The 22698-nt window shown below is 42.3% G+C and overlaps 2 protein-coding genes across 6 annotated transcripts in view, besides 6 other annotated features; both read right to left on the bottom strand.

Moving 5' to 3' along the window:
- Positions 2588 to 2657: an enhancer, noted in NCBI's record as "active region_25765". NCBI's record gives its function as "activates an Ori minimal core promoter by ATAC-STARR-seq in GM12878 lymphoblastoid cells {active_cell/tissue: GM12878}" and the evidence as "EXISTENCE:reporter gene assay evidence [ECO:0000049][PMID:35858748]".
- Positions 2808 to 2857: an enhancer, noted in NCBI's record as "active region_25766". NCBI's record gives its function as "activates an Ori minimal core promoter by ATAC-STARR-seq in GM12878 lymphoblastoid cells {active_cell/tissue: GM12878}" and the evidence as "EXISTENCE:reporter gene assay evidence [ECO:0000049][PMID:35858748]".
- Positions 2908 to 3177: an enhancer, noted in NCBI's record as "active region_25767". NCBI's record gives its function as "activates an Ori minimal core promoter by ATAC-STARR-seq in GM12878 lymphoblastoid cells {active_cell/tissue: GM12878}" and the evidence as "EXISTENCE:reporter gene assay evidence [ECO:0000049][PMID:35858748]".
- On the bottom strand, positions 3783 to 10387 carry CYCS (cytochrome c, somatic). Its single transcript, NM_018947.6, has 3 exons — positions 10327 to 10387; positions 9078 to 9254; positions 3783 to 8976 (listed from the first exon to the last, which is right to left on the bottom strand). The coding sequence occupies exons 2-3, from the start codon at positions 9244 to 9246 to the stop codon at positions 8828 to 8830; spliced, it is 318 nt and encodes a 105-aa protein (NP_061820.1). The 5' UTR covers positions 9247 to 9254; positions 10327 to 10387; the 3' UTR covers positions 3783 to 8827.
- Positions 9312 to 9856: an enhancer, noted in NCBI's record as "H3K27ac hESC enhancer chr7:25163804-25164348 (GRCh37/hg19 assembly coordinates)". NCBI's record gives its function as "activates a minimal SCP1, AML or CMV promoter by ChIP-STARR-seq in primed H9 embryonic stem cells {active_cell/tissue: H9 hESC(primed)}" and the evidence as "EXISTENCE:reporter gene assay evidence [ECO:0000049][PMID:30033119]".
- Positions 9857 to 10400: an enhancer, noted in NCBI's record as "H3K27ac hESC enhancer chr7:25164349-25164892 (GRCh37/hg19 assembly coordinates)". NCBI's record gives its function as "activates a minimal SCP1, AML or CMV promoter by ChIP-STARR-seq in primed H9 embryonic stem cells {active_cell/tissue: H9 hESC(primed)}" and the evidence as "EXISTENCE:reporter gene assay evidence [ECO:0000049][PMID:30033119]".
- Positions 10548 to 10797: an enhancer, noted in NCBI's record as "active region_25768". NCBI's record gives its function as "activates an Ori minimal core promoter by ATAC-STARR-seq in GM12878 lymphoblastoid cells {active_cell/tissue: GM12878}" and the evidence as "EXISTENCE:reporter gene assay evidence [ECO:0000049][PMID:35858748]".
- Positions 10899 to 22698, bottom strand: part of SPMIP4 (sperm microtubule inner protein 4) — a 54583-nt gene continuing 42783 nt past the window's right edge. For 4 of the 5 annotated variants that reach the window (NM_001371352.1, NM_001371351.1, NM_138811.4 and 1 more), the window contains one exon: positions 19819 to 21920. In NM_001371352.1, coding sequence (NP_001358281.1) covers positions 21099 to 21920 — 822 coding nt within the window. In that variant the 3' untranslated portion in view covers positions 19819 to 21098. Of the gene's footprint in view, positions 11105 to 19818; positions 21921 to 22698 lie in introns of those variants that run through there. The other variant, XM_047419891.1, reaches the window with a different exon arrangement.

Below are 22698 nucleotides of genomic sequence, written 5' to 3' on the forward strand. Positions count from 1 at the left end.
AAAAAAAAAAAAAAAAAGAAAAAGAAAAAAAGAATTACAGGAGGGGCCAGGAGCAGTGGCTCACACTTGTAATCCCAGCACTTTGGGACGCCAAGGCAGGTGGATCACCTGAGGTCAGGAGTTCAAGACCAGCCTGGCCAACATGGCGAAACTCCATCTCTACTAAAAATACAAAAATTAGCCAGGCATGGTGGTGTGCCTGTAATCCCAGCTACTTGGGAGGCTGAGACAGGAGAATCGCTTGAACCCAGGAGGTGGAGGTTGCAGTGAGCTGAGATTGCACCACTGCACCCTAGCCTGGGCAACAGGGCAAGACTCCATCTCAAAAAAAAAAAAAAAAAAAATTATAGGAAGTGCTAATGTTCCAGAATCAAAACTCTAACAAGGTAACTACTGAACATTGCTAAACACAAGTTAGCAAGGCATTGTGACAGGACGAGAGGCAGAACCACTAGTTCTTCATAGGTAAGGGCCCTCCAGGTGGCAACCTGCTATGACCTGGATGGAACATCCTAATAAATCCTCCTGGGAGATGGAACAGTGGAGGGTTGCAGCCAACCACCTAAACATTTCCCACTCTAAGCTGCCTCTAATGCACATATTCCCAACTCAATTTGTTTCTCTTCATGTTGATTTTAAGATTCAGGAGAAATTGACTAGCGCTGGCATTATACCAGTAAATGGGATATTAAAAACTATGCCTTTCGTAGATTACTAGAGAAACTAGGCACACTTAGAAGATGAGAATGTATACATATCAGTGTATACATACATTTGACTACAAGCCTTGGACCCCCCCCTTAGAAAAGCTTTCAAGGTAAATGAAGTTGGTGGAGGTTGAACTTAATTGATTCTTGGTCCAGGTCACTAAAAGTGTATGAGACATCACTTGATGAGTCAATGGTTAGAATTAAGGGCCAGAGTCAGGAATACAAATCCCTAATTCCAGGCACTTCTCTCCCACTAAACCATCCTGTTCACTTCACTTGGAAGAATCATCTCAGTGAGCACCCTCTCTCCCAGGCAATATGTCCAATTGTTAAACAATTTGATAAATTGTTGCCCATCTAGTTCAAGAATAGCTAATCTTTGAATGTTTACTGACTGCCAGGCAACATGCCAAGTACATTCTCTTGTTTAATCCTTAAAACCACCCTAAGGGCTAAAATAATTAGTGCCAGTTTACAGATGAGGAAACTAAAATACAGAGAGGTTAATGTGCCTAAGGTTCCATTATGCAGTGTCAGTGGAGGTCTCAGATCCTTGGGCTGTCTTCCTCTACCATTCACCAGTAAACAAGTATAGAAGTTTTCATCTTACTGACAACACAACATGCCCCAACTCAGTGCAGGTGACTTAGAAAATCTACAGATTTCTCCTGCTATCCCCAAATTGCAAAGATGTATCATCTCTTGGTCTGGACGCACTACACATGCCCAATTCAGGTAGAGACAACTATAATTTTGTTAAACTGAATTAGAAAATATTAATTTCCAGAATTTATATTGTTTAAATGTGGCTTCCCATGCAAAGTTCCTGGGCTAAAAAGAAAGTAGACATGTAGTCCTTCCAACTTTTATGGGAGAGGGAGGCAGAGGACAAGGGGGTTGAGAATGGGTGTTAGAATGACCATGTTGGGGTGTAATATGTAGAGCGACTGTTCTGATGTGATTGACCATTCTGAAACATATCTGAATTAAGAACAACATTCAAAGTGAAGGATGGGGTACAGCAGAAACCTTCCTCGTAGTCAGGAAGTAAATAATTCATATCTGAAATGGGAGGCAAGGCCATCTGCTATAAGAAAGGCAGTGGGGATAAGAATCATGAGGAGCATGATGAACATCTAAAATAACAATGAAGACTGGGATAAGAATGGATACATAAAAGGACAGCTGCGCAAGGTTTCTGCTGGTTCAGCTGAATCAGAGACGGTTAAGTTTACAGTGGTGCTGACGGACAGCAGTGTGATTTTCTCCTACGGTGTTCAGATCAGGTATGGAAGCAAAGATTGCTGGGCTGTTCTCAGGCTGTTTGCAGGACAGATGCCACAAAAGGAAATACAAGTGACAAAGGTAGAGGATGTAGGCAATGCAGTGATGGAAGAGATACACTGAGAGGCTGGCCGAGGAAGGGAGGCTGAAGAGTATGATCGGGACCTAGGGGTTTTGGTGAGTTCAAGGAGATACAACAGAAATAAGAATGAGAGACAAGGAACAATATGAGCTTGTGATCAAAGACTGGTGTATTGGGATTTCTAATTTCAGAGGTGGAGTAGTTCTGGAGTACTGATAAGTCTAAATTATAATGATGGGAAAGCCCTCAGAAGAGTTAAAATCAAGTAAAAAATTGAGGCTACAGTGGCATTAAGGATAGGTTCTTTGAATGTATACAGCTATTACCAGGATAACTTTTAAAAATAAAAAAGGGTTGCAGTAGAGATCATAAGCCAGGTGAAGTGCCCAGTGAGTAATGGTCTAGAAGTACACAGATGACAGCAAAAGGTCCAAAGGTCCATGCAGATGTCAGAAACCTCACACAAGTAGCTCTGCCTGTGAGAGAAGAGTGATGATTTGGAAGATGCCAAGACTACATGGCCTCTTTTGTGGACTGTGTGGAAGCAGTCTCTATTTGTGAGGGCTGAGAAGTTCATGGGCCTGGAGAAAGCCCTGTTTCTATTAACAAAGTGTGTACATTCTGTAAAGAGGCTAAAAGAGATGACCCAGTTTATGTGGCGTTTTAGAAGGCACGGAGGAAGGGTTGGTGTCAGTACATGTGGTACTGCTAACGAGGAAGTGTATCTGTGTGACCTTTAGCAGTAACAACCTCTGAGCCTGTCCCCAGTGCCTTTTGAGGTGCTGAGGATGAATTGAGATATGAACGCACTTTATAACTACAAAGCAATTTAAGTTCAGGGACTAGAATTTGGGCAAAACGTCATGCTGAAGTATGTGGGTTATCAAGAGATTATTACAGCTACACATACATAACGATGTTTATGTCTGTTTCATTCTATGTGAATGTGAAACTAACAAACTGAGGGAAGTGAGAAAATAAGAGCAGTCAAGTGTGTCAGATGTCACACAGATTGAGTCAATTGAGAATAGAAAATATCGACAAATAGGTTCTTGCTAACCTTGGAAGTAGTGACTTTTCACTATGTGACTTTCAAGGAATTTGACATAGATATGAACAAATTTTTCTGTGCTTGCCAGTTACAGGCATTCACACATCATTCAGTGAATCTTTTGAGGTGCTTATTCCCATTCTCCACAAATACAACGTTGTGTTAATCAGATTGATAAAGCAAAGCTCTAAACACAGAACTGAGAAACTCTGTAAAATGCCACACTAAATATTTTAGGCTTTGTCACAACCACTAACCTCTAATGTTGTAGCCCAAAGCAGCCCTAAACAATACACTAACGAATGTGACTGTGATCCAATAAAGTTTTTTTTCTTGAGACGGAGTCTTGCTCTGTTGCCCAAGCTGGAGTGCAGTGGTGTGATCTTGGCTCACTGCAACCTCTGCCTCTCAGGTTGAAGCGATTCTCCTGCCTCAGCCTCCGAGTAGCTGGATTTCAGGTGCCCACCGCCCCCCACCCCTAGGTAATTTTTGTATTTTAGTAGAGACGGGCTTTCACCATGTTGGTCAGGCTGGTCTCAAACTCCTGACCTTGTGATCCATCTGCCCTGTCCTCCCAAAGTGCTGGGATTACAGGCATAAGCCACTGCACCAAGCCCAATAAAGTTCTCTTTACAAAAACAGGCATCTGGTCAGATTGGGTCCACGGGCTGTTTATTGATACACACTAAACACAATTTTCTCCTAATCCTAGACCCAGCATTTTCTGCATTACACTAGCCCAGTGGTCCTTTCTGAAACTACACTGTTCAAGTTACAGACATATTTAAATGTTTAAATTTAAAATGTTAAATTTAACATTTTAACATGTTTAAATGTTCATAGACACATACAACCTGCACTTTTACTCTTTGAGAAATGAATGCAGTAAATTTACTTAGCTTTCTGAGGGAAATGATAGCCTGAAGGCATGACGTTTTCAAATACCCCAAACTCCAACTAAGATAACCTGGAACCTATTAAATGGATATCCAACATTTTGTACTGAACTCTAAGGATATGAACACCAGGACAATGGTTATTCTGAGGCACAGAAAATACAGCCAAAGCAGCAGCTCAGTATGTACCCCGACAGTGCCTAGAAGAGACTTATGTGGGAGACAAAGTTTCTGGTCAGGTGTATTTGTATACTTCATCAGGCATATGCCTTGCATTACATAGCTCTCGCCCCCAACTTGGCAACATCTTATTGGTTTTCAGAATATACTGATGACGGATTGCCAAAAGAGCTCATGAATGAATATTTTCCATTCTAAGGAAACTTTTTTTCTTTTTGAGACGGAGTTTCACTATTGTTGCCCAGGCTGGAGTGCGATGGGGCGGTCTTGGCTCACTGCAACCCCCATCTCCCAGGTTCAAGCGATTCTCCTGCCTCAGCCTCTCAAATAGCTGCAATTACAGGTGCCGCCACCACGCCCAGCTAGTTTTTATATTTTTGGTAGAGATGGGGTTTCACCATGTTGGCCAGGCTGGTCTCAAGCTCCTGACCTCAGGTGATCTGCCTGCCTTGGCCTCCCAAAGTGCTGGGATTGCAGGCATGACCTACTGCACCCAGACCACTTTTTTTTTTTTTAAAAGAGATGGAGTTTCCTTTATCTGTTGCCCAGGCTGGAGTGCAGTAGCACAATCACAGCTACACTGCAGCCTCGAACTTCTGGGCACAAGCAGTCCTCCTGCCTCAGAGTGGCTGGGACTACAGGTGTGCACCACGACGCCCAGTTATCTAGTTTACTCTTACCCAAGTATAAATGATATGAAACAATCTGAGACTAGTCAGTCAACTGTCCTTGGTAAGATCTCCTTCTTGACAGCCATGTGGATTCTATCACACCCTTTATAATTTACAGCAATCTTCAGTGGTTAAAGCAAAACTGTACATCTATAAAGGAATTCAAGAGAAGTGCAGGAAAAGGATGACAAAAGGTAAATCCCTAGCTACCACCAGAATGTTATCTATCTAAAACTGCCAACTTACGAATAGGTAAAACTTATGGTAAAATTATAAAGGTGAGCACAACAGGAACTGGAATCTATTCTGAAGGGCAATATAATGTACTTCCAAGAATTCTAGATTTTTTTTTTTTTTTGGAGACAGTTTCACTCGTCACCCAGGCTTGAGTGCAGTGGCACAATCTTGGCTCACTGCAACCTCCACCTCCCAAGTTCAAGTGATTCTTGTGCCTCAGCCTCCCAAGTAGCTGAGATTACAGGTGCCCACCACCACACCTGGCTAATTTTTATGTTTTTTGTAGAGACAGGGTTTCGCCATGTTGACCAGGCTGGTCTCAAACGCCTGACCTCAAGTGATCTGCCTGCCTTGGCCTCCCAAAGTGCTGGGATTACAGGCATGAGCGACCATGCCCGGCTAATTCTAGATTTAATAGAGTAAAGAGAAAGTACTTTTGTTACAGACCACTGGTTCTAGTCCTAGACCCAGAATGTCAATACAGTAGCCACTAGCCACTTGTGCCTATGTAAATTTAAAATAAAATACTTTCTAGTCACACTAGCTATATTTCAAGGGCTTAACAGCCACATGTGGTTAGTGGCTACCACACTGGACAGCAAAAGTCTACAAAATATCCATCGTCACAGAAAGTTCTATTAGACAGCACTGTTCTAGACAAAATAAGCATGTAGGTGGCATCTGAATACCCCTTAAATACATCTGGCCCTTGTTTTTGATTCTACCAACCTAGCCACTTACAGCGAAGCACTAGAAATGAAAACATGTGGTTTATAGTGCTCTTTTTTTCCCCTATTTCCTTATTTCTGAAGGTATATATCCCTGATAGAAATGTCCTTTTTAAAAAATTACATAATTGGCCAGGCGTGGTGGCTCACGCCTGTAATCCCAGCACTTTGGGAGGCCGAGGCAGGTAGATCACCTGACGTCGGGAGTTCAAGACCAGCCTGTCCAGCATGGAGAAACCCTGTCTCTACTAAAAACACAAAATAAGCTGGGCATGGTGGCGCATGCTTGTAATCCCAGCTACTTGAGAGGCTGAGTCAGGAGAATCGCTTGAACCTGGAAGGCGGAGGTTGCGGTGAGCAGCGATCACGCCATTGCACTCCAGCCTGGGCAACAAGAGTGAAATTATCTCAAAAAAATAAAAATAAAAAAGTTACAGAATCACATTTTAAACCACCAGAAGTGCTTGGGTATAACTGACCTAGAACATGGCAGTTACTCATCTGTGCCAACACAGACCTTAATATAGGAGGCATAGAAATGAGAAAAATTGGCCGGACGTGGTGGCTCACACCTGTAATCCTAGAACTTTGGGAGGCCAAGGTGGGTGGATCACGAGGTCAGGAGTCCAAGACCAGTCTGGCCAACATGGTGAAACACCATCTCCACTAAAAATACAAAAATTAGCCAGGCGTGGTGGCGGGTGCCTGTAATCCCAGCTACTCAGGAGGCTGAGGCAGGAGAATCACTTGCAACTGGAAGGCGGAGGTTGCAGTGAGATTGCACCACTGTACTCAGCCTGGGCGAAAAGGGCGAAACTCCGTCTCAGAAAAAATAAATGAGAAAAATTTTAAACCTGAAAAAAAATTAAACCTAAGTTACTACTGGGCTGATTACTTCTGGGTTAAATAATAAGATTTCTGAATTTGAAAACCAGGCAGGGCCTGGTGGCTCACGCCTGTAATCCCAGCACTTTGGGGAGCCAAGGCAAGTGGACGGATTGCTTGAGCTCAGGAGTTTGAGACCAGCCTGGGACCACATGGCAAAACTCCATCTCTACAAAAAAATTAGCTGGGCATGGTGGCGAACACCTGTAGTCCCAGCTACTTGGGAAGCTGAAGTGAGAGAATCGCTTGAGCCTGGGAAATAGAGGTTGCAGCCAGCCGAGATCGCACCACTGCACTCCAGCCTTGGCGACACAGCGTGACCATGTCTCAAAAAACAAACTAAACGCCACAACTAGCCAAGATGGAAGGTTGAACACATTTCTGTATCTATCTTAATATGTTTCCTGTATCATTTCCAGGATGCCAAAAAAAAAAAAAATCAACTCTCTAGCCTTCACTTCAGGTCTTTCTCATTAGTCCAGAATTGTCCCCTTGTAAGCTACTTGCTACACTGTCCCTGAATACCACTAACTTTATACAGTCACCAAGTCCTCTGCTACAAGGCCTTTCAAAGTCTGAAATCTTTAAAGGATTTCCAGGATGCATTTTTAAATTCCCCACCAGAACTCAGACTAGGACTTCAAATATGAATTACAGCAAGCTTTCCACATTTCTATAAATAAAAATAAGACTCATATGTTATAAATTGCTTTCAGGCCTTAAAACACCTATCTAATCGTCCCTATCACCTTTGAGACCATGGATTCACATCTTCTCAGTCTTCTCACTGTCCCACAAAGATACAGTTCTCAGCTGCACCAGCATAGATTTATTTTCTCATTATTCTTTATGACTTACCTTGTGCTCACCATCTCCATAAAATCTCCAAGGACTACTCTAAATGTGTATGGCACAGACTATGCATGAAATAATTCAGTATGTAATTATACACTGTTACACATCACAAAACTATGACCACAGGCATTCCTCTGTCCATGTCTGGCATAAATGCTGCAGTTCTCAATCTGAGCAAAGAAACTAAGAGTCAATTAGTGAAGTGTTATTCTAGTTGAGGCAGTCCTAGAAAACCAAGTAAACAATCTAGCACCATGACTGGTTAACACTGCTGCACTGACATTTAGGGCTGCTGCACTGACATTTAGGGCTCCTGCACTTTTTAATCATTAAAATTTGTGCATCAGTCATGAAATCAAGCACAGTCAAAAAGTCATGATCTGTGGTTTTCTTTTTAATTATCTTTAGTCTTGTGATCACACATAATTTTAAAATTTGTGTATATCTCCGTTACTTTAATCCTTTTAAGTTGGCAAAAGCACCATTCCCAATCAAATACACAGTTCTACAGTTTTGTTTCTGAATGGCTGTTTAAAGACAATCCTAAATTATAACTTAGTTTGACTTAGATTGTAAAGAATTCAAGAGTGAAGTTTAACTTGCTACTATTTTAAAAGCATGTGACCTTATAGATCTGTAAGATGTGAGAGGTGTTGAATAATCTTTAATATTACACATAAACCACACTAAAATGCCTTTCAATAAGTAAAAGAAACCATTTTAAATACAGGGAATTATAATTAGATTGGCATAGTTAAGGCCAAAACTATAGACATTGCTACCTTATTTATCTTCAACCCTTGCCTTTAAGAGGCAAATGAACATGAACACAAAACACAGGTGAATCTTGCTTGGTTCTAAGACAGTGAAGCAATTTCCCCAGTATTTAAATATATTCACATAACCAGTTATATAAATCTAAATATAAAACCAATCTCCAGTAAGTTTTAAGATGGCACTCACCATCTTTGTGAAAAGTTGAACATTACTAACGAAGTCTAATCATATCTTTAAAAGGGGTAAACAGTGATACCATTTACTGAATTGGAGTTACTATTAAAATTCAAAAACTGAACATATTCATTTAACCACAAGCCAGTCTTAGTTTTAAATCAGGACTGCCCAACAAAATATTCTGTCAGTCATTCATGATCTGAATTCTGGTGTATGAGATCTATTAAAGGATGGTACACATAAAAAAGTCATGAGACATTTCTGTTTTGTAATAAATAAGGCAGTGGCCAATTATTACTCATTAGTAGCTTTTTTGAGATAAGCTATTAAGTCTGCCCTTTCTTCCTTCTTCTTAATGCCGACAAAGATCATTTTTGTTCCAGGGATGTACTTCTTGGGATTCTCCAAATACTCCATCAGTGTATCCTCTCCCCAGATGATGCCTAAACAAGAAAGAATGCATCGGTTATTTCACACTCCTGATAGTTTGCCACATGTTATATTCCTGCATTTTGTGTTGTTTTATTTAACAAGTGACTCTTACCTTTGTTCTTATTGGCGGCTGTGTAAGAGTATCCAGGGGCCTGACCTGTCTTCCGCCCAAAGAGACCATGGAGATTTGGCCCAGTCTTGTGCTTGCCTCCCTTTTCAACGGTGTGGCACTGGGAACACTTCATAATAAAAATCTTCTTGCCTTTCTCAACATCACCCATATTTAATTCTAAAAACGAAAGCTTCAACTTAGTAAATTTTTCCTCAGGTAACAAATACAGTGTAAATGAATGACCACTCTAGCCACTTAATTACCAATCCATTGCTAATTTATGTCATTAAATACCAGAATGAATCTTGTTTTGCTTTAATACTCTTTATACCAAATATTCTTTAATACCAAAAACATTTTTAGGAGTACCTCCTCAAAAACGTATTTTTGTGTGTATACGTGAAGGAACGTTAAAGCCCAAGCAAAGAGGGAACCTAATTCAAACTCCAGTTTCAGAAGAGACAATCATGGTCACGAAGTCACAGATCTGAAGCTCAAGGGCGAACACATTAAGCCAAAATCACCACAACCGCAACTTTTAAAAAGACCTAACCATTTAATCTTACTACAATGTAAAGCCACCTCTCCCTGAGGATAACGCAAAGCACACAAATGTTTAAAAAGCGGTCCTGGCTGTTTCTATCTGCCCAGGTCACAGGAGTAGCTTGACACTCGAACTTGTGAATGGGAGCTCAGGGGCAGGCTGCACGGTCCCCCGGGGACATCCCAACTCCCCTACCTGTGATCTCCTGGGGCGACCACGAGGTCACCCGTCCAGGTCGGTTTCAAGGTGATTGATGAAACTCCTTCTAGGATGTCAGAACGACTGACGGAAGAAACATGTGCCCACGAAAAGAACTGGCCCCTTATTAGAAGAGCAACAGCTTTTGCCCTCTGAAGAAGAACGTGAAGCTCTAAGCTTCGGCTTTCCAGGAGGGAAGTCTTGCCTATCATTTCCATAGCCCTTCAGCAACCACTACGGAAGAGGCCGCCTCCTCCTCGGATCTGTATCCAAGCCGCCTCCAGTCCCTGACCGAGACCATACCTGTCCCTAGTTAGGGCTCCGCCGCACCTCAAGCCGTTACTCGCCCAGCTCGGTCTGACCACAGTCCAGGGTCTTCACTCCCCGCCCTCCCACCCAGCGCGGGCTCCACTCGAATGCTCCCCGCTTGGGTTTCGGTCGCTCGCAAGTGCGCGCCTCCCACAGCTCTGCCTCTAACCAGGTGCGGCCTCCGCGACCCGCTCTCACCTCTTTTTAGTCGCTGGCACAACGAACACTCCCGCTCCGAAGCCGGACGTCCCCACTCTCTAAGTCCAAGGACACGCCGGTCCGCGCTTAAGTACCGGTGTAAGTGCAACCAAACTCGCTCCGCGCTCCCGCGCCCTGACGTGCGGCCGAGCTGGCGGCTACGCAGTAACGTCGCCGCACCTCATTGGCTCCAGTCCCAATGCCTGCGCCAAGGACCTGCGCGCGCATGCTGGCGAGCATGTTAGGGTGTACGGCGTGCGTGCCCTTCTTCTCGAGGCTTTTCCCGGCCGTTACGACAGGCCTTTGGTCGTACGACAACGAGGTGGTGTCGGGAGAGGTGACGTCACTCGCGGGCCTCTGTGCGCTTGCGTGTGCTGGAGGAGCGGGGAGGGTGGGGCGGAGTCGCTTGGTTGGTGCGTTGCCCTGCTAAAGTATCAGTTCTTGGGCGTGGTGATGTAATGAGCTTTGAGCAGGGCGTTTTGCCGGTCCAGGAAAAGACGCCCTAATTTTGGCGCACCTAGAGGTCTCCTAGCTACCATCTTGTCAGCAGGCGACCTTTACCCAGACTCTGTCCTACTACCACGGCTGGCGCCAACAGCATCCTAGAGGGACAGCCTGGAACCAGGAGTTACACGAGTTGGGCACCAGCTCGTGACCTTGTTCTAGTTCCACCTATACTCTGTTACTTTCAGTCACATTCCAGCTCTCCGCTTGATGGACGCCCCAAGACTGAGGAAGGTGCTGCATTTGCGGCAGAGACAGGATTATCCCTCTGGAACTGAAAAATAAAATTAAGAGGATGCAATGATAACATTTATGTACCTTTTAAAATTTTTATGAGTACGAAGTAGGTAAATATATATATATACTTAAGAGGTACATGAGATATTTTGATACAGGCATACAATGTATAATAATCACATCAGGGTAAACGGTCTATCCATCACCTCAAGCATTTATCCTTTTTTTCTGTTACAAGCAATCCAATTATACTTTTAGTTTGTTTAATGTACAATAAATTATTGTTGAGTGTAGTCACCCTGTTGTATTACTAGACCTTATTCATTCTTCTTCAGTGGCGCCATTTAATGTCTCAGCCCCCCAAGTAGCTGGGACTACGGGAGCAAACCACCACGCCCAGCTAATTTTTGTATTTTTAGTAGAGATGGGGTTTCACTATTTGGTCAGGCTGGTCTCGAACTCCTGACCTCAGGTGATTCACCCGCATCGGCCTCCCAAAGTGCTGGGATTACAGGTGTGAGCCACCACGCCCAGGGCAAATAATATTTTATAACCCATTGTTTTAAACTGATGACAACATAACATTGATTGCATAAACAAAAATCAAAGAGAAAACTAAGAAAAACTCTGCACTTTAACTTCACTCTCCCCACTTTTAAAACTTTTTCTTGTTTCTATTTATATATTATTATACTATGTCTTGAAAAGTTGTTATAGCTATTATTTTTGATAAGTTAGGTTAATCTCTAAGTCTTTCTACTCAAGATATGAACAGTTTACACACAATTACAGTATTATAATATTGTGTGTTTTTCTGTGTACTTACTATTAGTAGTGAGTTTTGTACCTTCAGGTGGTTTCTTATTGCTTACGAATGTCCTTTTCTTTCAGACTGAGGAACTCCCTTTAGCATTTCTTGTAGGACAGGTCTGGTGTTGATGAAATCCCTCAGCTTCTGTTTGCCTGGGAAAGTCTTTATTTCTCCCTCACATCTGAAGGATATTTTCACTGGATGTACTATTCTAGGATAAAAGTTTTTTCCCTCAGCACTTTAAATATGTAATGCCACTCCCTCCCGGCCTGTAAAGTTCCACTGATAAGTTTGCTGCCAGACTTATTAGAACTCCTTTTTATGTTATTTGTTTCTTTTCTCTTGCTTGCTTTTAGGATTCTTTCTTTATCCTGGATCTTTGGGAGTTTGATTATTAAATGTTTTGGGGTGTCTTCGTTGGGTTAAATCTGCTTGGTGTTTTATAACCTTCTTGTACTTGAATATTGATATCTTTCTCTAGGTTTGGGAAGTTCTCTGTCATTATCTCGCTGAATAAACTTTCTACCCTGATCTCTCTCTCTAGCTCCTCTTTATGGCCAGTAACTCTTAGATTTGCCCTTTGAAGCCAGTTTCTAGATCTTATAGGTGTACCTCATTCATTTTTATTCTTTTTTCTTTTGTCTCTTCTGAGTGTGTATTTTCAAATAGCCCATCTTCAAGCTCACTAATTCTTCCTTCTGTTTGATCAATTCTGCCTGTAAGGGACTGCATTTTTTAGTACGTTAATTGGATTTTTCAGCTTCAGAATTTCTGCTAGATTCTTTTTAATTGTTTTAATCTCTGTTAAATTTATCTTGTAGAATTCTGAATTTCTTCTCTGTGTTATCTTGAATTTTGTTGAGCTTCCTCAACACAGCTATTTTGAATTCTCTGTTTGAAAAGTCACATATCTCTTTCTCTCTGGAATTGGTCACTTGTGCCTTCATTAGTTTGTTTGGTGAGGTCGTGTTTACCAGGGTGGTCTTGATGCTTGTGGATTTTTGTTGGTGTCTGGGCACTGAAGAGTTAGGTATTTATTATTGTCTTCACAGTCTGGGCTTTTTATTTTTTTGTATCCACCCTTCTTGGGATGGCTTTCCAAGTATTTGAAGGGACTTGGGTGTTGTGATCTAAGTCTTTGGTCACTGCAGCTATATCTGCATTAGGGGCCATCCGAAGCTCAGTAAAACTATAGCTTTTGCAGACTTGTAGGGGTATGACATTTGTGGTCTTGGGTAAGATCCAGGAGAATTACCTGGATTACCAGGCAGAGACTCTGTTCTCTTATCTTACTTTCACCCAAACAAATGGAGTCTCTGCACTGAGCTGTCTGGAGCTAGGGGAGAGGTGACACAAGCACCCTTGTGGCTGCCTCCACTGTGACTGTGCTAGGAGAGACCTGATGCCAACATAGCACTGGGTCTGGTCCAAGGCTTGCAGTGACCACTGTCTAGCTACAGTAGCTTATGTTTCCTCAAGGCCTGCATTCAGAAGCTGGTGAATTCAGCCAGCCTTGTGTCCTTCCTATCAGGGCAACAAGTTCTCTCCATCTTCAAGTAGGTCCAGAGATGCTGTCTGGAAGCCAGGGCTTGGGGTCGGGAACCTTAGGAATCTACCTGGTACTCTATTCCACTGTGGCTGACCTGGCACCCAAACCACAAGATAAAGTTATTCTCACTCTTCCCTCCTCTTTCCTCAAGCATCAAAGTCCTTCCCCATGACCACCATTGCACTAGCCCATGGCTAGTACTTCCTGGCTATGCCAACATTCACTCAAGGCACAGGGGCTCTTCAGTCAGCTTGTGATAAATGCTATTAGTCCCGAGTTTCTCCTTTCAGGGCAGTGGGGTCCTCTTTGGCCCAGGGCATGTCCAGAAATGCTGTCTAGGAGCCAAGGCATGGAATCAGGGACTCCAGGAGCCTGCTTGGTGCCCTACTCCCCAGTAGCTGAGCTGGTATCCAAGTCGCAAGACAAAGTCTCCTTACTTTTCCCTCTCCTTTCCTCAAATAGGAGTCTCTCCCCTGAAGCCACCACACCTGAAGCCAGCATGGCTGGCTACTACTACTGATTATTCAAGCCCAAAGTCTCTTTAGTCAGCAAGTGATGAATCTTGCCAGGCCTGGGCTCTTCCCTTTAAGGCAACAGGTTCCGTTCTGGCCCAGGGTGTCTCTAGAAATTTCATGTGGGGGCTAGGGCATGAAATGGGGGCCTCCCCCTAGTGCACAGTTCTACCGTGGCTGAGCTGGTATTCAAGTTGTAAGACAATGTCTTCTTTACTCTCCCCTCTCTTCTCCTCAAGTGGTGGGAAGGAGTCTCTCCCAGTACTGTCAGCAGCAGTGCCTGTGGCTTGGAGAAGGGTGATGCAAGCATTCCCTTGGCCTCCCTGGCTAGCATCTCACTAGGTCATGTACATTCTAAGCCCAATGGCTCCAAGCCCAGCAACAGAACTTGCCCAAGAATTGTAGTTCTTTTGGCCTATTCTGCCTTTCAAGTTTATTTGGGACCCCCCCAGAGCACTTTAGCCCACGGTAGCTGGGCCTGCTAGAACTCAGGTTCTGGCTGCTTGGATGAATGACTCCTCTCTAGCTAGGGCTCATCTACATGCTCCCTCTGGGCACTGGCTGATTTCTGCCCAGTGTTGTTTTTCACTGTGACAGGGCAGCACTGAGTTCCAATGCAAGGCCCTGCAATCACTGCCCTGTCCCTTCCGCAAGCACACTGATTCTCTATGCCATGTGGCCACTGCTGGGGGATGTGGAAGGGGTGGTGTAGGCAATCCAAGACTGCCTTTTTTACCCTCTTCAGTGCCTCTTTCCTTAATATGATGTTAAAACCAGGTACTGTGATTGCTCACATGATTTTTGGTTCTTATGAAGGTTCTTTTTTGGGTGGATAGTTGTTCAATTTGTTGTTCCTATGTCGGGGGCAATTCCTGGAGGCTTCCATTTGGCCATCTTGCTCCACCTCTCCACCAAAATGACTTTTTGGAGAGGAGTTATTAGACTACCTCTGGAAGTGCTGTAACAGCCCAATGGGTTCTTCTTGCCTGCTGCCTAGAAAAGCCAATGCATTGAGAGCAACAGTTTTTGGAGCAGAGAAAGAGTTTAATTATCAGAGGGCCAGCCAAGCAGAAGGATGGGAGATAATTTTCAAATCTGCCTCCCTAAGAATACGGAAGCTAGGGTTTTTCAAGGATAGTTGGTGGCTGGGTGTGGTGGCTCATGCCTGTAATCCCAACACTTTGGGAGGCCGAGGCGGGTGGATCACTTGATGTCAGGAGTATGAGACCAGCCTGGCCAACATGGTGAAACCCCGTCTCTACTAAAAATACAAAAAATTAGCCCAGTGTGGTGGTGCATGCCTGTAATCCCAGCTACTTGGGAGGCTGAGGCAGGAGAATCACTTGAACCTGGGAGGTGGAGGTTGCAGTGAGCTGAGATCATGCCACTGCACTGCGCTCCAACCTGGGCGACAGAGAAAGACTCCGCATCTCAAAAAAACAAAAAAGAAAGAAAAGAAAAAAGAAAAGCAAGCTGGGGACAGTGGCTGGTTATCACTTCTTTTTTTTTTTTTTTTTGAGACGGAGTTTCGCTCTTGTTGCCCAAGCTGTAGTACAATTGCGCGATCTCGGCTCACTGCAACCTCTGCCTCCCAGGTTCAAGAGATTCTCCTGCCTCAGCCTCTCAAGTAGCTGGGATTACAGGTGTGTGCCACCATGCCCGGCTAATTTTTTGTATTTCTAGTAGAAACAGGGTTTCACCATGTTAGCCAGACTGGTCTTGAACTCCTGACCTCAGATGTTCCGCCCACGTCAGCCTCCCAAAGTGCTGGGATTATAGGTGTGAGCCACCGCGCCCAGCCAGTTATCACTTAACTACACCTACTTCTTAGCAATTCAGGCCCCTCCCATAATCCTAACCTTGTGACCTTTCATTAGTTTTTCAAGGGTGATTTTTGGTTCCTGAACAAGTAGGGGGTTAGTTTTGGGAAGGAAGGAGCTATTATTGTCTTTGCCTTACAGTTAAACTATAAATTCCTCCCGTAGTTAGCTTGGCCTATGCCCAGGAATGAACACACAGCTTGTGAGGTTAGAAGCAAGATGGAAATAGCTATGTCAGATTTATTTGACTTTCATCATTTTTGCAAATGCAGTTTCAGTGACACTGGGAGCAACACACATCCATATCTGTTCAGTGGTTTGGAGCAGGGCCCTCAATCCCTGCTCTGTGGCCTGTTAGGAACAGGGCCACATAGAAGGAGGTGAGTGGGGGGTGAGCAAATGAAGCTTCATCTGTATTTACTACCACTCCCCTTCACGCACATTACTGCCTGAGCTCCATCTCCTGTCAGATCAATGGTGGCATTAGATTCTCATAGGAACTTGAACTCTATTGTGAACTGCACATGCAAGGGATCTAGGTTGCATGCTCCTTATGAGAATCTAATGCCTGATGATCTGTCACTATCTCCCATCACCCCCACATGGGACCATCTAGATGCAAGAAAACAAGCTCAGGGCTCCCACTGATTCTACATTATGGTGAGTTATATAATTATTTCACTGTATATTATAATGTAATAATAATAGAAATAAAGTGCACAATAAATGTAATGCACTTGAATGATCCTAAAATCATCCTCCCCCATGCCCCGGTCCATGGAAAAATTGCCTTCCACAAAACTGGTTCCTGATGCCAGAAAGGTTGTGGACTGCTGGGTTAGAGGACATGGAGCTGGAAGACCTGAGAAGGTAGAGAAAAAGGTTCTATGCCAGACTGGTCATATTTAGAAAACACTTCGTATTATTGTTACGGTGGGGGAGGAGTGGTCCTTGCTCCCAGAGCTCCCAAGATGGTGGCAGGCCACTTCCAAAATGGCAGCAGGCCACTTCCAAGATGGTGGCAAGCCTCGTGTTCTCTGACCTGGGGTTCTTGGCCTCACAGATTCCAAGGAATGGAATCTTGAGCCATGTGGTGAGTGTTATAGCTCTATTAGAAGCCATGGGTCACGGAAGAGAACCATGGAACCCAGTGACTAGTGTTCAGCTCAATTAGGACGAACCCAGGCACTTAGCCCTGCAGGAACAATGGCAAGCCTTTAGCCTTATTGGGAGTGGCAATGGGCACCTCGCTGGATCAGGAGCACAGCTGACACCCTGCTGGATCCGGAGGGATGGAAGTCAGCGGCGGGTCTGCGACGGCGGCAAACAGCAGTGGTGGACGGCAAGTGAAAGCTCAGCTCGAGCGAGCCTTAACAAACATGGACCAGAAGAGTGCAGTTGCAAGATTTAATAGAGTGAAATAGAGTGAAAACAGATCTCCCATACACAGGGAGGGGACCCAAAGAGGGTAGCTGTTGCTGGCTCGAATGCCTGGGTTTCTATCCCGATCATTGTCCCTCCCGCTGTGCTGTCATGCAACAGATGATTAGCTATTTCTTTACCTCCTGTTTTCGCCTAATTAGCATTTTAGTGAGCTCTCTTTACTATCTGATTGGTCGGGTGTGAGCTAAGTTGCAAGCCCCATGTTTAAAGGTGGAAGGGGTCACCTTCCCAGCTAAGCTTGGGGATTTTTAGTCGACCTAGGAAATCCAGCTAGTCCTGTCTCTCAGTATAACTATTGTTGTGTGCATTTTATTCCTCACTACTGTATATATCATTGACAATGCTAAGTACTTTTTTGAAATATCTAGGCTTTGTAGGTATTCAGTGCCTGATACATTTGTTAAAAGTAAAAGTAGAGGTTGTAAAATGATACATTTTGTAAATGTCTTTTTGTTAAAATTCCATAAGAAATGTTTGGGGGAGAATGGCCAAACCACCCCTTGAGTAGTACACATTGTGTTTGTGCACTGTTTCAGGGGAGGAGACAGGAAAAGGAAGTGCAAAGAGCTCTATGCTGATGTCCACAGTGAGGCAAGATTAACCACTGTTCCTTACTTCTATGCATTTTATTGTACTTATCTGTGTATATAAAGGATAAACAATACCTAATTTACAACATCTAGTCTTTCTAGATGTTAAAGAGTTGCTTGTGTATAACAAAAGTAAGTTTAGTAAACGAGTATGTTTTATACATTTTGCTCAAATTTCCGAAAATTTGAGCATTATTGACCACTGAGTTGATGGAGATGGGAAGGGTTTTAGGCCAGAATGTTCATATTTTAAAGGCTCTTTCAAATTATAACTACTCTTACATGTGTGCAATTTATTCAAGACTGCTGTACACATAGTGGACAAATTAACTCCTTATGTATGTTAAATGTAGAGGTAGTAAAATATCACTTTTTGCTAAAATTCATAGGAAAATTGGCTTTTGGAAATGGAATTGTTACACCACTTCTGTGAGCAGTATATTATTGTCTGTACTTGTTCAGTGGTTTAGAGGAGGTAGGAGGGAAGGAATTGCAAAAGGTAATATGCTAGTGTGTTCATATTTGGACATTTTCAGGAACTTTTTTTCTGTATGTTTTGTGCATTTTGTTTTGCTGTGTATATAGTGTATATAATGGACAAATGAGTCCTAATTTTGCAACATCCAGTCTCTAGATGTTAAAGAGGTTGCCAGTGTATGAAAGCACTTAGAATTAGCACAGTTTTGTACACTTTGTGTTGAAATAGCAAGTTGTCTTCTGTAAATGACTTGGATATGAATTTGTTCAACCATCTCTAAGCATTACACATGCTTATGTTTGTCCACTGGATTGAAGGCAGAGAGAAGGAAGTGAGGATAGAATGGTTCAAGGCCAAAGTGGTCATATTTAGAAGATCTCTCAGATTGTGACCCTTGTAATGTGTGTAATTTAACTGCTGTGTATATAGTAGACAAGTTCTGATATGAAATATCTAGTCTTTGTAGATATTCGGATGTGCCTAATGTTTTAAAAGCAGAAGTAGTAGAGTAACGCTTTTTGTAAATAGCTTTTAAAAATTAATGGAAAATACCGTGTTTGGAAGTATAATAGAATGTTAAACCACCTCTGTGAACAGTGTACTCTCTGTATCATTCATTGGGTTGAGGGAGGAGGGAGGAAATTGCAAAAGGTGTTTTGCTAATGTGTACTAGAACATTTCAGCTTATCCATTGCTCTATATATTATGTTCTTTTGATTTAACTTTTCTGTACTGTATATATTGTGCATGTACTGGACAAGTGAGTCTTAACTTTATAATACCGAATCTCTGGATATTAAAGACGTTGCCAATGTATGACAAAAATAGAGTTACTAGGCTGGGCATGGTGGCTCACGCTTGTAATCCCAGCACTTTGGGAGGCCGAGGCAGGTGGATCACGAGGTCAGGAGTTCGAGACCAGCCTGGCCAACTAGTGAAAACTCTTCTCTACTAAAAATACAAAAACTTAGCCGGGCGTGGTGGCAGGTGCCTGTAATCCCAGCTACTTGGGAGGCTGAGGCAGGAGAATCGCTTGAACCCAGGAGGCGGAGGTTGCAGTGAGCCAAGATTGTACCATTGCATTCCAGCCCAGGCAACAGTGTGAGACTCTGACTTAAACAAAAACAAAAACAAAAACAAAACACACACACACACACAAAAGAACCAGTTAGTAAACTAACACATTTTGTAAAAAAAAAAAAAAAAAAACCAAAAAAACAAAAACAAAAAACACACACACACAAAACAAAAAAATTGAGCTTTTTGATGAGCATGCTTGGAGTTTGGTATTTTCTGTCATCAAATAAGGGCAGATTCATTAGCTTTAACAATCAGCAGAGTTAAAGGAAAGGCTGACTTCCTCTTAGTTGAGAAGCATGACTATGACAATGCCTAAAGAGAAGGCTGTGCCACCCTTGCATGGAGGTAGGCAGAGTGAACACCATATTTAGAATGTAATTTCTAACTAATTTCCATGCAACCCAGGGAAGCTGGGTACAAAGGTATGAACATTACACAAAACTCTAGGAGTGCAATCAAAACCTCAAATTTTTATACTGGAGAGTTACACCTTCCAAAGTTTATTATTTGGAATTCCATTCCAGTGATCTACTCTGTGATAAAAAGTGTGTACACTATATCTCCCTCACTTCAGACACTCCCAATTGCATTACATATTAAAGGCTATAGAGAACCCAGTGACCAAGGCATGCAACTGACATTGTTGCTCCGATTTCCCCAGTATTATTTCACCATGTAAACTTTTACTTCCTGTCATAATGTAACTAGTGCTGTACAGAATGCAGTTGGAAAAAAATTCTCTAACTTTAGCCCAGAATAGTTTTAAGGAGGTTACAACCAAATGACATGTTGGTCATAAAATTAAAATAAATATTCACAAAATACTTAAAGAAATTCCTCTTGAACTTCCACGATAGACTATGTTTAAAATCTACCTCTTGGCACATTAAATGAATTGACTTGCATATGGGAGTTAGCCAAACTCTTAGAGAACACACTCCAGAAATGAAGATTTGGGGCTCTGTAATAACTGATACCAAGCCATCCTTTCTTGCTATAATTAGAACTCACCAGTTGCTAATTAAGGCCATTGCTAGATCTTCAGTAAAATAATTTTATCTGCATAAAAGAAACAGTTATGTTTCTCAATCAGAAGGTTAAGGGTAAGCAAACAATTCAATTTGTAATGTGTACATGCAGAGAGTTTTGGGTTTCATTTTTTTCGCTGACTTATTTTCTTTACATGTTTACATAAAGGAACAGAGTCCACATACTTTTAAGACAATATAGTTTTTAGAGGTGTCCATCCCTCAATTAACTAGGTGTTTGGGTTTTGTCTTTTCTACCTAATGCTACTATGTACAAAAATTTACATAAAGGGACAGTGTTCTCATTTTTATTAAGATACTATAATTTGTATAGTCATTCATTAATTATTGATCATTTGAGTTCTTTCCAGCTTTTCAATTTTTTTTGGTGAAACAATGATGTAAACTTTGTTGTACACATTGCTTTTTGTGATTTTGGAAAATTTCCTTGTATAATCTGAAGATGAGAGATTAAAGACTATAAATTTTTCTAGTTCTAATATTTTATTGCCAAATTGTTAAACTTTTCAAGAAGTCATAACATCACCTTTTCTGGGTTCCTCCAACCAGATACTAACTTAAATTCCTGAAAATGTAAACCTCACTAACAAGGTCCTTGTGGTTTAATCTAGAAAACAGAATCCAGCAATACGAAGGAAATTCTGTTATATTTTTTAGCTTCTTGCAAGAGGCTGGGTTTTGAAGGGAAGAATGAGTATCTCAATTATAGAAATAATAGGAATTATGGCCATAGAATTGGTGCTTCATCCCCGAATGCTCATTATCCCTGAGGTCTTTATGGTCTTCTAGAATTGATTTATGGAAACGCTTTTGTGCACCAGTTTTTGAAAAAGAGTTCTTAAGCTCCAGCAGGTTGGTCTGAGGTTTGGTCACTCCAGCTCTAGGAATCCAACCAAGAACAGGTCTTGTTTCTTCATTGTTTTCCATATTCAAGAACAACTCTTCTTCTGGCTTACTTAAAAAATGTTCTAAAGTGAAAGCTTCCGTGTCTTGTTTATTTTGTAAAACACTAGGTTTACTAAGGCTAACAGGGTCTGGACACATATTATACTGATCACGTAGGGGAGATTTAAGATTTTCATAGTGAATCCAGTGGTCTGGTTTACAGTAAGGTGTGGGTTGGGTTTTTAGTGACTGCTGTCTCCAGTATAAATCTTCTGTCTTTTTAGTATCTGTGATTTTTGGAAATGGCTTTATGTCATAAATGCTAGTTAGGTCTTTTGTTGGGTAACAAGATGGGAGTTCATAGGTAGACAGCAAGCTCTGTTCTTCTATGATCTTCTCTTCAATATCCTGGTTTTTATGGGTCACACCGGCTGGTATGTTATCACTAAGTGCCACCATTTCTTTAGAACTGGGTACAAAGGTATGAAAATTACACAAAACTCTAGGAGTACAATCTGGACAGGAACGTGGTCTTTGCTGGACTATAGCCTCCAGAGAACGTCGGTTCTGAATTAATCGGGCAATTCGTCCTTCCAACGGTCTGGGAGGTTTGAAGACAGGGTGGAATTTTTCTTGCTGTAGTTGTGGGATAAAAAGGAGAAAAAAATTGATCAGGGATATTGCCACAAATGGTAGGTCAAAAGTCATACCCATTTTCATTGTCTGAGTACACGAGATGGGCATAGGAGTGTACATTGCAATGCTCTTTGATACTAATTTAAAGACATTGAAATTTGGGTCCAAATACATTTTCCTCCTTTACTGGTTTTAGAGAGTATGAAAGGGGCATGTTTTTTATTTGGCTATACAGAACTCTTTCTGTGTGGGAACTCTGCTTTTAAACTTCAAAGATATAAAGCAATCACTGGAATAAAACTTCTGTCCATCACTAACAGATGGCATTAGCCGCGTGTGCAGTTATTTAATCTCAGCCAAAGTCTCCTTTATTAGGCCTTAGCAAGTGCCCTTAAACCTTGGCTGAGTCAGAATCATCTGCAGAGCTGGCAGGAGATTCCTGACTCCTAAGACCCTCCAAGACTGTGGGTCAGAAGGCCTGTAGTGGGCCCCAGGAAGCTGAATTTTCTTTTTTTTTTTTTTTTTTATTTTTTCTTTTTTCTTTCCTTTCTCTTTGGTTTTCATTCTCTTATGGTTTTGGCAGGTTTTGACAGTATTAGAGTAATGCGAACCTCATGAAACAAGTTGCGGAGTGTATTAATTTGCTAGCGCTGCCATAATGAGGTACCACAAACTGGGTGGCTTCAACAATAGAAATTTATTGTCTCATAGTTCTGGAAGTTCAGCCTCAGTGTATTGGCAGGGTTGGTTTCTTCTGAGGGTTGTGAAGAAAAATCTG

The sequence above is a fragment of the Homo sapiens genome, chromosome 7 (genome assembly GCF_000001405.40).
Source record: "Homo sapiens chromosome 7, GRCh38.p14 Primary Assembly".
In the NCBI taxonomy this organism is placed as follows: domain Eukaryota; kingdom Metazoa; phylum Chordata; class Mammalia; order Primates; family Hominidae; genus Homo; species Homo sapiens.

Excerpts from the sequence above, each read along its gene's own strand:
- CYCS (NM_018947.6), bottom strand. The coding sequence starts at position 9,246 with ATGGGTGATGTTGAGAAAGGCAAGAAGATTTTTATTATGAAGTGTTCC. Across the intron at positions 8,977-9,077 it reads AGCCGCCAATAAGAACAAAG|GCATCATCTGGGGAGAGGAT; the intron begins GTAAGAGTCACT and ends TTTCTTGTTTAG.